Here is a 12,562-nt window from a genome sequence, read left to right on the forward strand (position 1 = left end):
AATGCCTTTATGCTGGACATAGAGCAAATCTGTGTCCCTGGATGCCCTTATGAAGTCTCCCTCTCCTGCCTTCATTCCCTTCACACCCCTCCTCCAGCCTGGAAGCCACAAAGGACATGAGTTCATGTCCAGGAATCAGAGAGACAAGGACCTGTTTCTTAGGAAAATAAACTGGAATTTGAGTCTAGATTCTGGGCCCATGGGGCACACTCAGCAGTGTACTGGTAAATGGATAACTAGCTTTCCAGGAGGGAAAAGCCCTGATTTACATCATGTTCTCACCAATTCACACAGTATAAATACTGCCACTATTACCAATCTCAAGCTACCAACATGATGCCATTGAATACATGGTTGGGAAAACATAGATAGGTTCTTTCATTATTAGATAAGAGCAGGCTCTATCACCTCAATGTACCCACATTTTCCTCCTTCTTCTTTCCTCCTCCTCCTCTTCCTCCTCTTCCCCCAACTCACATTCCTCTAGGGATTTTCCATTATCCTGTCTGTGAAGACAGTAGCATCTTCATTGAGAGGTAGGGGTTGCAGCTCTTGTCATTGTTCTAATTAGAATGAGTTGCCAGTTCACCTTAGATTGGCGGCTTCTCACCCTGGCCCAGATGCCCATCCTCTTGTGCCCCATAGGAGTAGATAACATGCATCAGCTTATCAGTGAGCTTTGTTCTCTCCTGAATCCCTTTCTCTAGTCTACCACCTTCAAGAAGATATTAGAAGGCATAATTTGTTTCTTTCCTTCACAGGGAACCCTAAGCATGGGTAGGAGCATACAACGAGATGCCCATACAAAAAATACCAGATACATCTTAGGTACACTTGAATTGATGTGAAGTGTCCATGGCTAACAATGAATCTTTGCTCCATTTTGTAGACTATAAGCTCTCTAAGAACAAGGTAGAGACCATATCTCATTAATTATTGTACTTAGTATCTCCGGAAATAAATTATTAGATAATGTGATGGTGGCCTCAGCTACTGGCAGTCTTTCCCTTGAGCTCTGCAAATGCAGCAAAGTACTGAGCTCAAAGGGAAGATTCAGCCAACAAAATACTACACAAGTAATGCTCAACACAGACAACATGTTAGTTTAAATGTATTTACTTCATAACATGATAGATTTTCTCCAAAATGGTGAGGCATAAATACTACTACATGAATATAACCAAGGTGTGGAAATAGTATTACTTGCTTGAGTATCATTTTTGTATGTAGTACAACTAAATGTCTCAGATTGATTAGGACTGTAATCTAGACAATTTCTGATGTCTGTGAACCTTTCTTCTTCCATGTATTTTGCCCATCAGCAAGAAGAAAGGTAAAACAGGGCAGATTATTATGTAGCAGCTATTTAATAGACAAATAAGTGTAAGTTGATGGAAAGCAGTAATGTTCCTTAATACAGACACTTGCACTTGGTAGACAGATTCACCCAAGTTTGCATATTATAATTCCAGCCACCACACAGTGAGTGAGTGACTCTTTCTCACAATATCACTAACTCTAAGTCTCTGTCTCTCATCACATCCTATATTCTCACACCACCCCTGAGCCCTAGGGGACATGATGCCTACCCGATCCTGCCGGCTGAGAGAAGGATGGTATATTTTCTTACATTAGTCAGGTGAGACAAAATTTGAAGCTTTCAAACTGAAACTTTTACTAACCAACTGAATGAAAAGGAAGTCAAAAGAATAAAAGTGTGGAATTCAGTGAGCACAGATAAAAGTAGCTTCAACAATCTCAGTAATGAGACTTTTACCACATGGGGGAGCTCATTCTAGCATGGTTAAACTAATTGTCAGACAGTGCTGACTTACATTGAGTGAAAAATTAGTGAATAATTAGGTGAATAACTTTCATCCATCTGGCATCATCAGTCTGCCTTATGGAACATAAAGTATTTTATATACAACTATATTATCCACCTTAAGTCTTTTGAGGTCAGATATCCAGTTTCTTTCATCATTCTTCTGATAATGTAGTTTCTAGAATGTATGAATCTGGTCAGCTCCATCTGAAGTGCTACAATTTGTTAATACTCCTCTAAACTGTGACCAAACAGATCAAAGATTTTTCAGGTGAGCAGGATCAATGTAGTTCCTCTCATTTTTACACACATTCTGCCAACACAACCTTAACTTACATTAGTTTCATTAGCAACCATTTTTTATTGCTTATATTTAGTTGCCTTTCAAGGAAAATGTCAGGGATGCTTTCTGAGAAAGAATAGCAGACCCTGACATCCAGGAACTGTCCTGGTACTATCAGGTCAAAATTCTATAGATAGACCCAATACCCCAACTTTGGTTTCCAGTATCATTCTCCAATAAAATGAGCCAGGGCTTCTTGGAGAAATGGCTAATTCTAAGGCTGGCGCAGAAATATATGAGTCTGGAGCATCTTACTGAGCTCCCAGTGGCCAAAGCTGGAATGATTTGAACAAATCAATAATGTAGTGTTGGATTATAAACCAAAGTATAAACAAATGTTCATAAATCCATACTGATATAAATAAATGATGAAAGGAAGGGAAAAAAGGAAGGAAGGGAGAGAGAAAGTGGGGGAAGCCTCCATACAAAGAATTCTAAATGATTTATGTAGATATTCCCTCCTCAAGAAGGTAGAAGATAACTACCCATTCTCAAGTATGGGTTATGCTTAGTGACTTCTTTCCAGAGGATGTAATATAGAAAGAAAGTGGAAAGAAACTTTACAATGAAGAAAACTGGCAAACACTACCTAAGCCAAGGTTAAACACCACCAATGGCAAGTCACGTCAATGACATGTGCCTTTGATATGACGTGTTGAGTATGATACTTTACCTCTGTGGTCTTCATCCCAAAAACCTATAATCCCAGTCAAACAAAGACATCAGGCAAACCCAAATTGAGGGGCATTTTGCAATATACCTGACCAGTACTCAAAATTGTCAAGGTCATCAAAAACATGGTCTGAGACATTGTCACAACCCACAGGAACCTCAGAAGACATGACAACTCGGTGTAACGTGGGATCCTGGAACAACAATAACAAAAAAGGAGCTTAGGGAAAAACTACTGAAATCTGAATAAAATAGGAAGTTTAGTTAATATTGTATTGGTTTCAGTGTATTAGTTGTGACATATATAATGTTAAGATATTAACAATAAGAATAAACATGGGGCCAGGCACAGTGGTTCAGGCCTGTAATCCCAGCACTTGGGAGGCTGACTCAGGCAGATCACTTGGGTCCAGGAGTTGGAGACCAGCTTGGGCAATGGAGTGCAATCCTGACTCTACAAAAAAATACAAAAATTATTTGGGAGTGGTGGTGTAGACCACAACCGTAGTTCCAGCTATTTGGGAGGCTGAGATAGGAGGATCAATTGAGCCCAGGAGGTTGAAGTTGCAGTGAGCCGTGATTGCACCACTGACAGAGCAAGACCCTGCCAAAAAAAAAGAAAAAGAAAAAAAAATGATGAGAGGTATATAGGAACTCTGTACCATCCTTGCAACTTCTCTGCAAATTTAAAACTTTTTTTTTTTTTTTACAGTTTGGTATTTTTTATTATTATTATACTTTAAGTTTTAGGGTACATGTGCACAATGTGCAGGTTAGTTACATATATATACATGTGCCATGCTGGTGCGCTGCACCCACTAACTCATCATCTAGCATTAGGTATATCTCCCAATGCTATCGCTCCCCCCCCTGCTTTAAAACTATTTTAAAATGAAAAGTTTATCAAATTTACAAGAAGAAAAACATTAAAAAGTGGGCAAAGGACATGAACAGACACTTTTCAAAAGATGTCATACATGGAGCCAACAAGCGTATGAAAAAAAAGCTCAATATCACTGATCATTAGAGAAATGCTATGAAACCACAATGAGATACCATCTCACACCAGTCAGAATGACTGTTATTAAAAAGTCAAAAAACAACAGATGCTGGCGAGGTTGCAGAGAAAAGAGAATGCTTATACACTGTTGCTGGGAGTGTAAATTAGTTCAACCATTGTGGAAAGCAGTGTGGCAATTCCTCAAAGAGCTAAAAACAGAACTACTATTCGACCCAGCCATCCCATGACTGAGTATATGCTCAGGGGAATATAAATCATTCTACCGTAAAGACACACGCACATGAATGTTCACTGCAGCACTATTTACAATAGCAAAGACATGGAATCAACCTAAATGACCATCATGACAGACTGGATAAAGAAAATGTGGTCCATATACACCATGGAATGCTATGCAGCCATAAAAAGAATGAGATCATGTCTTTTGCAAGAACATGGATGGAGGTGGAGGCCATTATCCCTAGCAAACCAACACAGGAACAGAAAACCGAATACCGCATGTTCTCACTTAAGTGGGAGCTAGATGATGAGAACTCATGGACACAAAATGCGGAACAACAGGCACTGAGGCCTACTTGATTGGTGGAGAGTGGGAAGAGGGAGAGGATCAGGAAAAATAACTATTGAGTACTAGGCTTAGTACCGGGGTGACAAAATAATCTGTACAACAAACCCCCGTGAAATGAGTTTACCTATAGAACAAACCTGTATGTGTACCCCTGAACCTAAAACAAAAGTTTAAAAAATAAACAAAATTAAAAGTTTATTTAAAGTTTAAAAAAGATTCTGGCCAGGCTTGGTGGCTTACGCCTGTAATCCCAGCACTTTGGGAGGCAGAGGCAGGTGGATCATCTGAGGTCAGGAGTTTGAGACCAGACTGGTGAACCTGGTGAAACCCTGTCTCTACTAAAACTACAAAAAATTAGCTGGGCATGGTGGCAGGTGCCTATAATCCCACCTACTTGGGAGGCTGAGGCAGGAGAGTCACTTGAACCCGGGAGGCGGAGGCTGCAGTGAGCCAAGATCACGCCATTGCACTCCAGCCTGAGCAACAAGAGCGAAACTCCGTCTCAAAAAAAGAAAAAATAAAGATTCGATAGAAACAGCAGAGGAACTTTAGACATAGATAATTATTATCCCTTGTATCATCTTATGAAGAAATATTTGTGGGGTCAATATTAGATCCTTTGCCACCTTTTTTCTCCTCAGCCTTAAGCTCTCTGAAAAATAATCGGTTATGAGCTAAGCCAAATGAGCTCAGCATAAACCCAAAGCTGTGAAACTGAATCTTTACCATGGTACCACTGCAAGAATTGGTGGTTTGTTTTTTAAAATGATCTCTAGACTGTCAAATGATTTTGAATAGGACAAAAGAGAAATACATATTGTCCCAATTCAGCTTCATTTTGACCACCTTCTTTTTTATCTTCTATTTTGATATCATAAAATTGCTTTTGAATTAGATCTTTCAGTCTATCCCTGCATTGTCCCACTTCAGTGTCAACTCTGTGAGTCAAAGATTACGTCTGGATTGTTCACTAATATACCCTAAAGCTTAATGAATATTTGTTGAATGAATGAATGATGAACAGAAAGAAAAAGTTTTTTTATATGCAGATGACACTATTTGTGCCAAAAACGGGGAGGAATTTACGGTATGTAATCATCATCAAAAAGCTTAAGATGAGTTGTTTTAAAACCAGATTGCCCAGTTTAGCAAATGTTCTTATTTTTAACCCAATGTAGTATGTAAATTCAATTAAAAGAACTAGAAAACCATTTTGCCATTAACTGGAAGACTAATTTTATTGATTTAAGCTAAAATGTTTATCATCGCTGCAATAAAATTGTCATGACAACTATGAGTGATTGAGGACAACTGGTTGAACAATTTTTTAGACTAAAAGTACATGGTCTCACTTTACAGCATTGAACTTTTGAGCTTCAATCATTTGCCCACAGACTGTAAAAGAGAACTGTTTTTTTTGAGGAAAACTGTAATACTGCCTCTAGGTACCACTTCGGCTCCTCTGCAGGAAATGAATTCTAGGTGGATAGCTGTCAGGTCATTTTTTTTTTTTTAGACCAAAAGCAGTTTAATGATAAAGAACACAGATGTTCAATATGGAGATGAGAAAGGACAGGAAAGTTCTTGGCAAGATTAACTCAACTTTTTACTCCTGTCACATAAATGTGACTCCTCTCAAATGAATCATCACTTTTCGATTAGAGCTAAACAGTAATAAAGTGTCAATATGAAAATATGTTGAAATTTAAAAACTCATATCAGACTAATTATTTGTCATATAAATTCCACAAATCAAAAGCTTAATGGACATAAAATCACTCATGTTTACACGCTGTCTGGTCATTTTTATGAGAACATTAATTAGCCCTACCCTCCAACCAGTTGATTTTCTGAGCTTAGGGATCCACCCTTAATTGGCAAGATAAGAAGTTTTCAATCTAGGAAATTATTAGCCCTACAATCTTATATTATCTGCTACTCATGCAAAATTGGTTATATGAAATAATATTGCCGAACGCTATGAGGTCCTTTAATATTGAAAATTCCTAACCTGGGGTTTATGCAGCCCCCTGAAATTACATGCAAAATGTAATTTTAAGAGTGTTTATATATAAAACCCCTAATAAATGGTCTATACATCATCAGAATTTGAAAGTGGTCAATAATGCAAAGAACGTCCCTCCTTTAATTCAGCTTATTCTTGGATCAAGTCAAACCATCAGGCAGTTCGTTACTTGTTCAGTATTATTTTAGCCGATTTTAAAACTTTTTATATTTGAGTTTGAGTGTACTGGAATCAGACTGTAAAGGAGAGAATCTGTCATTGTAAGGATACTTGAAACCAGTGTTGTAAACCATGGTAGCCACTGTGAAAACCTATGGGTGAGATTTTCATTGATTCTTTGTCCTGGAAAAGGCTGGACCTCTGTTGAACATATGGTTTGGTTTTTCTTATAAGCATGTGAATCTTGAAACTGTTCATGTGTCCCTCTTCACTAGGAGAAGTGGGAAACAGACCAAATTTATAGGCACCCTTTATCAAAGGTATAGGCTTTTACGACATGCATTCAAAAAGTATTAATCTAAACCGTAACTCCATTGTATTACTTCCCTGTCTTCATGTCCCAATGTTCCAATTTCCTCCACTACTTCATGTTTTCCTTTTCTTCGGTATATTTCTTTAAAGCTTCACATCCTTTTTGAAATAAGATGTGAGATATAAATAGGCAATATAAAAAATAACTCAGCTAACACAAAAATTCTATCAAATTGTACTTTACTGAAATGAAGTTTCTGTCTTTGTTTATTGTTCCTTTTTCAAAACAAAGACAATAAAAATGAGAACATAAAAAGGTTTTAGTCCTTAATGCATAGAAAAATACTTTAATATAGAAGATGGCTTGGTAATGAAATGTACATTTCAGAAACCACAAAATATACTACATTAAATATTACTTTTTAGGATAATACTGCCATTAGTTTTGGCACAGTTTAATAGTCAATATTAATATATAAGATACCTTATAAAATTGGTTACAATTTTATTCCATTGACTATTGTATCTAAAAAATATATCACATTTGCCTTTTAACTGATGTTTTCTTTAAAACAAAGACACTTTAAAAAGACACCTTCTAAGTAAAAAATTGAGAAATTATCTGAAAATATTGGAATAATTCAATAGCAATAAAGCAATTACAACAAAAAACAACGTTTATCAGTATTAAATAATTTGTATAACTATGACAAGAAATATTTGACCTCATAAATACAAGTTTTCAGGTCGCTGTCATCTTGCTTGAGGTATTTTACATGTTTTCTCTTAAATGTAATACTCTCATTTTGTAAAATCTAGTCCTGTAAGATTTAAAAGAAGAAATTGTTAATATTCATTCCAATATGACTCTTAAATTTCCTGCTTTTATACAACCCTATTGAAAAAATTAATTTCAAAAGCCTAAATACATGTCTGATGTTTAAAATTTCTTCAACAAATGTAATATGAATAATTACAGGGTTAAATGGCTTTCTTATGAACTATTCATGGGCAAACAAGGATAATTTTAATTATCTACCAAAGTGTATTATATTCCAAGATCATTTAAAATTGTAAGTCAGAGCTTGTGTGGTTTGTAAATAATGTAAAATGAGTAAAAATGAGAATCAAAACCTATCATTTTAGGGAAAAAAACTAAATATGGTAAATTTGCTACCTTGTTGGATAACTTGAAAAAAATCAGAAGAATTAAATAGTGACTTTTAAAGAAAAGTAAACTGCTATTCTCTTAAATACACATTTAAATTACCTCCTGTTATTTTCTGTGGAAAATTATATTTGGGGGGCATCACCTGTCTTCTGCCCATTCCATGAGATCTTGAAAGCAAGCAGTCTACATACATGTCCCAGAAATCCTGAGCTATGTTTAAGAAGACATTATAATGTCCAGGCCGCTGAGATTTTTGCAAGAACAACATGAAATTCCAAAAAGCATCCACATTGTGCTCTATCTTGAGTTCCTTGAGATCTATCAATGTCAAAGAGCAAGCTTTCCAGCACTGGAGATCAATGTCTTTGGTGATTCCTGGGCTGATGCTGGCAAGCACTCCTTTTTGAAACTCAAAGTCAGCATTAACCAGATTGATCAGCATCATGCAGCCCAAATGTAGATAGAACCATCTTCTTGTAGCAAAACACATATTCTATACAGAAAAAAAAATGAGAGAGGATATATTTAACTTAAAAAAGTTATTCAATCACTTGATCTAAAAAACTGTAAGTACACATATATTTGCTTTTGATCAAGCCAAATCTGCTTACTAGGTATTCATTTTTTCTAAATTACTGATTATCACATCTTCCTTTAGGATATTACAGTTCCGGTTTGATTTCCAACGTTCTGATCAAGAGTCTTTGAAATGCAACACATTTATGAAAATGCAAAGGTTCATTTCATCACAGACCTTTAAAAGTGGCAGAAACCCTAAAGAGCTTATGCTCCAACCTTCTCCCTTTACTGATTAGATCATTAGTGATACGGTTCCGCAAGTCTTCAGACTCCTGACTGCCTATCCAAGACTCCTACCTACCACAACACATTTCAACTAAGTGGATCAAAATACAGTCCTTTCTACATGTAACATAGGAAGTATTTTGTTGTTGTTAATTGAGATATTATTAACCCAAATGGTACTAGATCTCACAAACACCGTTTAAGTCTCAAAGTTACTGCTATTTCCATTTTCATGTATTGAAAAATACTTGTTACGCACTAATATCCGGTGTATTCTTGGCTTCCCTCTGTTTAGGAGCTGGTTGGAGAAGATGAACGTAGACATACATGAAGTGGCACGAAAACAAAGGTGATATAAGGTAGGATGAGATAGTGCAGGGCCCATTACATTCAGCAAAATCTTGACATTTTTCTAATGCCTCTTTGCATGCCTCCTTGCCAACTGATTGTTGGGTAAAATCGGCCCAAAGCACATAAGAGGAAGTTAAAGACTAAGTTGGCATTGAATTGCCACACACCTGCTATTCAAGGCTGCTGTTGGAAATGTCCCTTTTACAACATTGACAGCCAACGGGGAGGGATAGGGAGAGGAGAACAGATCCAGAACACAGGACTCACCTTTCCCCCCGTACACAGCCGTCTGCCACCTCCCTAAAAAAGTTGGGCTGAAGAGAGAAATCATACGAATCAAATCTAAACAGGACATTCAAGTCATTTCACATCGTCGAAAATTGTGCAAATTCCCCAGACTGAGCTGAAAGCTGGCAGTTTATGATACATGATGTATCAGAGGGAATTTCTTCCCCCTCAATTTCAGGCTAGCGCCTCTCCCTGTGCCCCCAGCCCTGGGTCAGGTCACCTGGGCGCAGAAGAGGGAGGCCACGCGGGAGTCGAGGACCTCTGGTCGCCGTCCGAGGAGCGCGTCCCGGCGCGGTGTCCTGGGTGCGCTACGCTCGTTGGGAGGAGGACGGGGCGCCTCCTGCCCACGAGGAACCAGAGGTTTCAGCGGGGACGACCCCTGCCCAGGGCGCCCTCTGCCCAGCGGACCCACTTCCCGAGGCAGGCGAACTGGGCGAGGCAGCGCTGTGTCACCCACCCCGAGCGCTCACCGGGCGCCCAAGCTCGCTCAGCGGAACCGTCTCGGCCGCGGTGCGCTTCGGCGCTGGGAGGCTCTGGCTGGCACTGGCTCACCGCGGGTGGAGCTGCCGGTTCTGCTGCGGCCACGCGGGGTTCCCGAGACAGACCCGCCGCTGGGACCGCGATCCTTTTCTAGAGGCTGAGTGAGGGGGCAGATCGTGGGTGGCCGCGCTCTCGAGGCCCCTCCCTGACCTCGCCCAACTTCCCAGCCTCCAGACCTCGGGGGCCTCTGCGCCCTGCGGCCCTGCTTTGGCCGCTGCTCTCGCCTCTCCTGCCCTCCTCCGACTTTCTTGCTATGCCAAAGGCTCAGGGTCTTCTTCGCTCTCTCCTTCTTACTTTGTTCCTTCTTTTTTCTTAGCTGAGAAGATCCATCTCGGCATTAGTCAGTCCACATACCCAAGTTATCTTCTCCCTCCGCCCACCCATGCTCCACACCGTATTCTCCTATCCAGAGAAAAATTCTCTTAAGGCTGTGAACTCTCTTAAAATGCTAAACCTCCTTGAACGGTTCTAATCTCTAGCTAAACACAGTTTATTATTAACGCTAACACATACACACGCGCAAACATACCCTTGCTTCTACACTGGGGGAAATGTTTCCTTTATCCCTTCATGGATGAAGACCCGAGCAAGTACCTTGAATTTCACATATGTATGTTGTCCATCAATCTCAGCCCCAACACATCACTTGGACTATATATGAGTTTAAGTCTACCTGCTCTGCCTATAGCCCAGCAGCGATGATCAGATGGGGCTAGGGAAATCAAAGCCAGCTGCCTTATCCCCATTTCCCCTCAGGCAGGCCACCCTTCTCACAGGTTCTTGAGCTGGGATGGTGAGATCATGGGGTGAGATGAGTGCCAAACCAAACAGCCCAGTTCCCCAGTCATTGTCCCTGCTAAAGCTCACTTCTCCCAGCACCCACCATTATTCAAAGCTCCACCCTGTTCTCATCCTGTTGGTGGAGCTAACGTAGTCAATCATTAGTTCTGCCCTGGCAATGCCTTTTTATGCCCCTTCTATCTGCAGGACCACCTCCTGCACAAAACAGAACTGAGAAAAGGGGAAGACTTGTTTACTCGGATTAGGTAGGATATACACGAATCCATCTCACACCAGATATTCTTCTGCTGTAGACTTCCAAGTGTTTCAGTCCACCATTAATCATGGACTCTCACAATTAGCAGAGATGCAGAGTGACCTAATCCAACATCCCAGCTGAAACGTGAACAAACCACCCTCCCAAGGAATTTGTCCACCCACCAAAGCTGTTTTCCAATGTGACTTAACCTTGGGCACATGTCCCCACCCCCAAAGGAAGCAACCCCTTCCATCTTTGGGTTAATGTTGGCTTCCTTCTAAAATGAATTGGCTCAATTTCTCTGTTGAGTAACCACATAGTTCCTGTCCGTCTTTTTTGAAAGATATACTTTATTTTTCATAAAACATTTTTATCTGTTTACAAGTATTCAAAACCTATTGAAAAGTTGTAAAATACAGAAAAATGTAAGGAGACAGGTAATAGTTGTCATTAAAATGCATTTTTAAAGAATATTCTAATATTAGAATTAGAGTAATGTACTAAATAGGAGTACATATTTGGGTATGATTATTATAACACACACACAGGAATGGTATTCTGAATAGAGAACTTATATAAATCAATAATAGAAAAATAAGGGTAATTGACAGAAGAGTAGACCTTAATATTCAGTAAACATGAGAAAAAATACTGAAATATTCTAAATTTAGATAGACTTAATAACAAAGCCATTTCAAGGAAATGATATATTGTCTTCCCCAAATGAAGCTTAACAAAAATTAATTTGGTAAAATACAATCTCAGCAATTTTTTGAGAAAATGAACACTTCATATGCTTTTGATGAGACTATCAGCTGGTATAATCACCAAGGAAGAAAACTGGCATTATCTGTTTAATCTGAAAGTGATCTAGAAATTTTACTCTTGGTGTCTACCCCCAAGTCAGTGAGAGAAGATATTCTTTATGTGAGTGATTTTTCTGAAGGGTCTACTTGCTACATTCAAATAGAATCTGGCAAAATGATGACAAACATAATTTTTAAATCATCATTGGGTGATCAAGAAAGTGAAATCTCCAGGGAAAAGGCGGATGGAGGCAAAGCATAAAGAATCAGAATATGGAAAAGAAGAAAGAAGAGAAAGAGAGAAGGAAGAGAGGAAAGTGAGATGTAGATAGTAAGTTTAGGCTTTATTAAAACTGGTATCTACAGTAAAAAGTGAGATATAGATATTGAATTTAGACTTTGCAAAGTTGTTAAATATGTATGGTAAAATTTCTCAGGCAATTCCTAAATGACGGAAATAGAGAACAAAACTCTTGAACCAGGGAGAAAAACAGATTGACAAATAAAAAATTAATTGAGAAAGCAAGAAGAGAGAAAAAAGCACAGCAAAAGTGACAAGTAGAAAGTAAATTTATAAGATTCAAGTCAACAATCATAATAATAGTCTGAACTTCTTGATTAAAGGAAGGAAGATGTG

General features: G+C 38.7%; 2 protein-coding genes across 17 annotated transcripts in view; one reads left to right on the forward strand and one right to left on the reverse strand.

Moving 5' to 3' along the window:
- The window catches only part of CFAP69 (cilia and flagella associated protein 69), a 78,550-nt gene extending 65,988 nt beyond the window's left edge, over positions 1 to 12,562 (forward strand). For 13 of the 16 annotated variants that reach the window (XM_011516577.3, XM_017012625.2, XM_017012628.2 and 10 more), the window contains 2 exons: positions 9,197 to 9,260; positions 9,719 to 12,562. In XM_011516577.3, the coding sequence (XP_011514879.1) occupies positions 9,197 to 9,254 (58 nt within the window). In that variant the 3' untranslated portion in view covers positions 9,255 to 9,260; positions 9,719 to 12,562. Of the gene's footprint in view, positions 1 to 761; positions 5,727 to 8,755; positions 9,159 to 9,196; positions 9,261 to 9,718 lie in introns of those variants that run through there. The other 3 variants (XR_927530.2, XR_927531.3, XM_011516578.3) reach the window with 3 other exon arrangements.
- On the reverse strand, positions 5,646 to 10,143 carry FAM237B (family with sequence similarity 237 member B). The gene is made up of 3 exons (NM_001384237.2): positions 9,761 to 10,143; positions 9,520 to 9,566; positions 5,646 to 8,590 (listed from the first exon to the last, which is right to left on the reverse strand). The coding sequence occupies exon 3, from the start codon at positions 8,585 to 8,587 to the stop codon at positions 8,168 to 8,170; it is 420 nt and encodes a 139-aa protein (NP_001371166.1). The 5' UTR covers positions 8,588 to 8,590; positions 9,520 to 9,566; positions 9,761 to 10,143; the 3' UTR covers positions 5,646 to 8,167.

This window comes from Homo sapiens, chromosome 7, assembly GCF_000001405.40.
Source record: "Homo sapiens chromosome 7, GRCh38.p14 Primary Assembly".
NCBI classification, from domain to species: domain Eukaryota; kingdom Metazoa; phylum Chordata; class Mammalia; order Primates; family Hominidae; genus Homo; species Homo sapiens.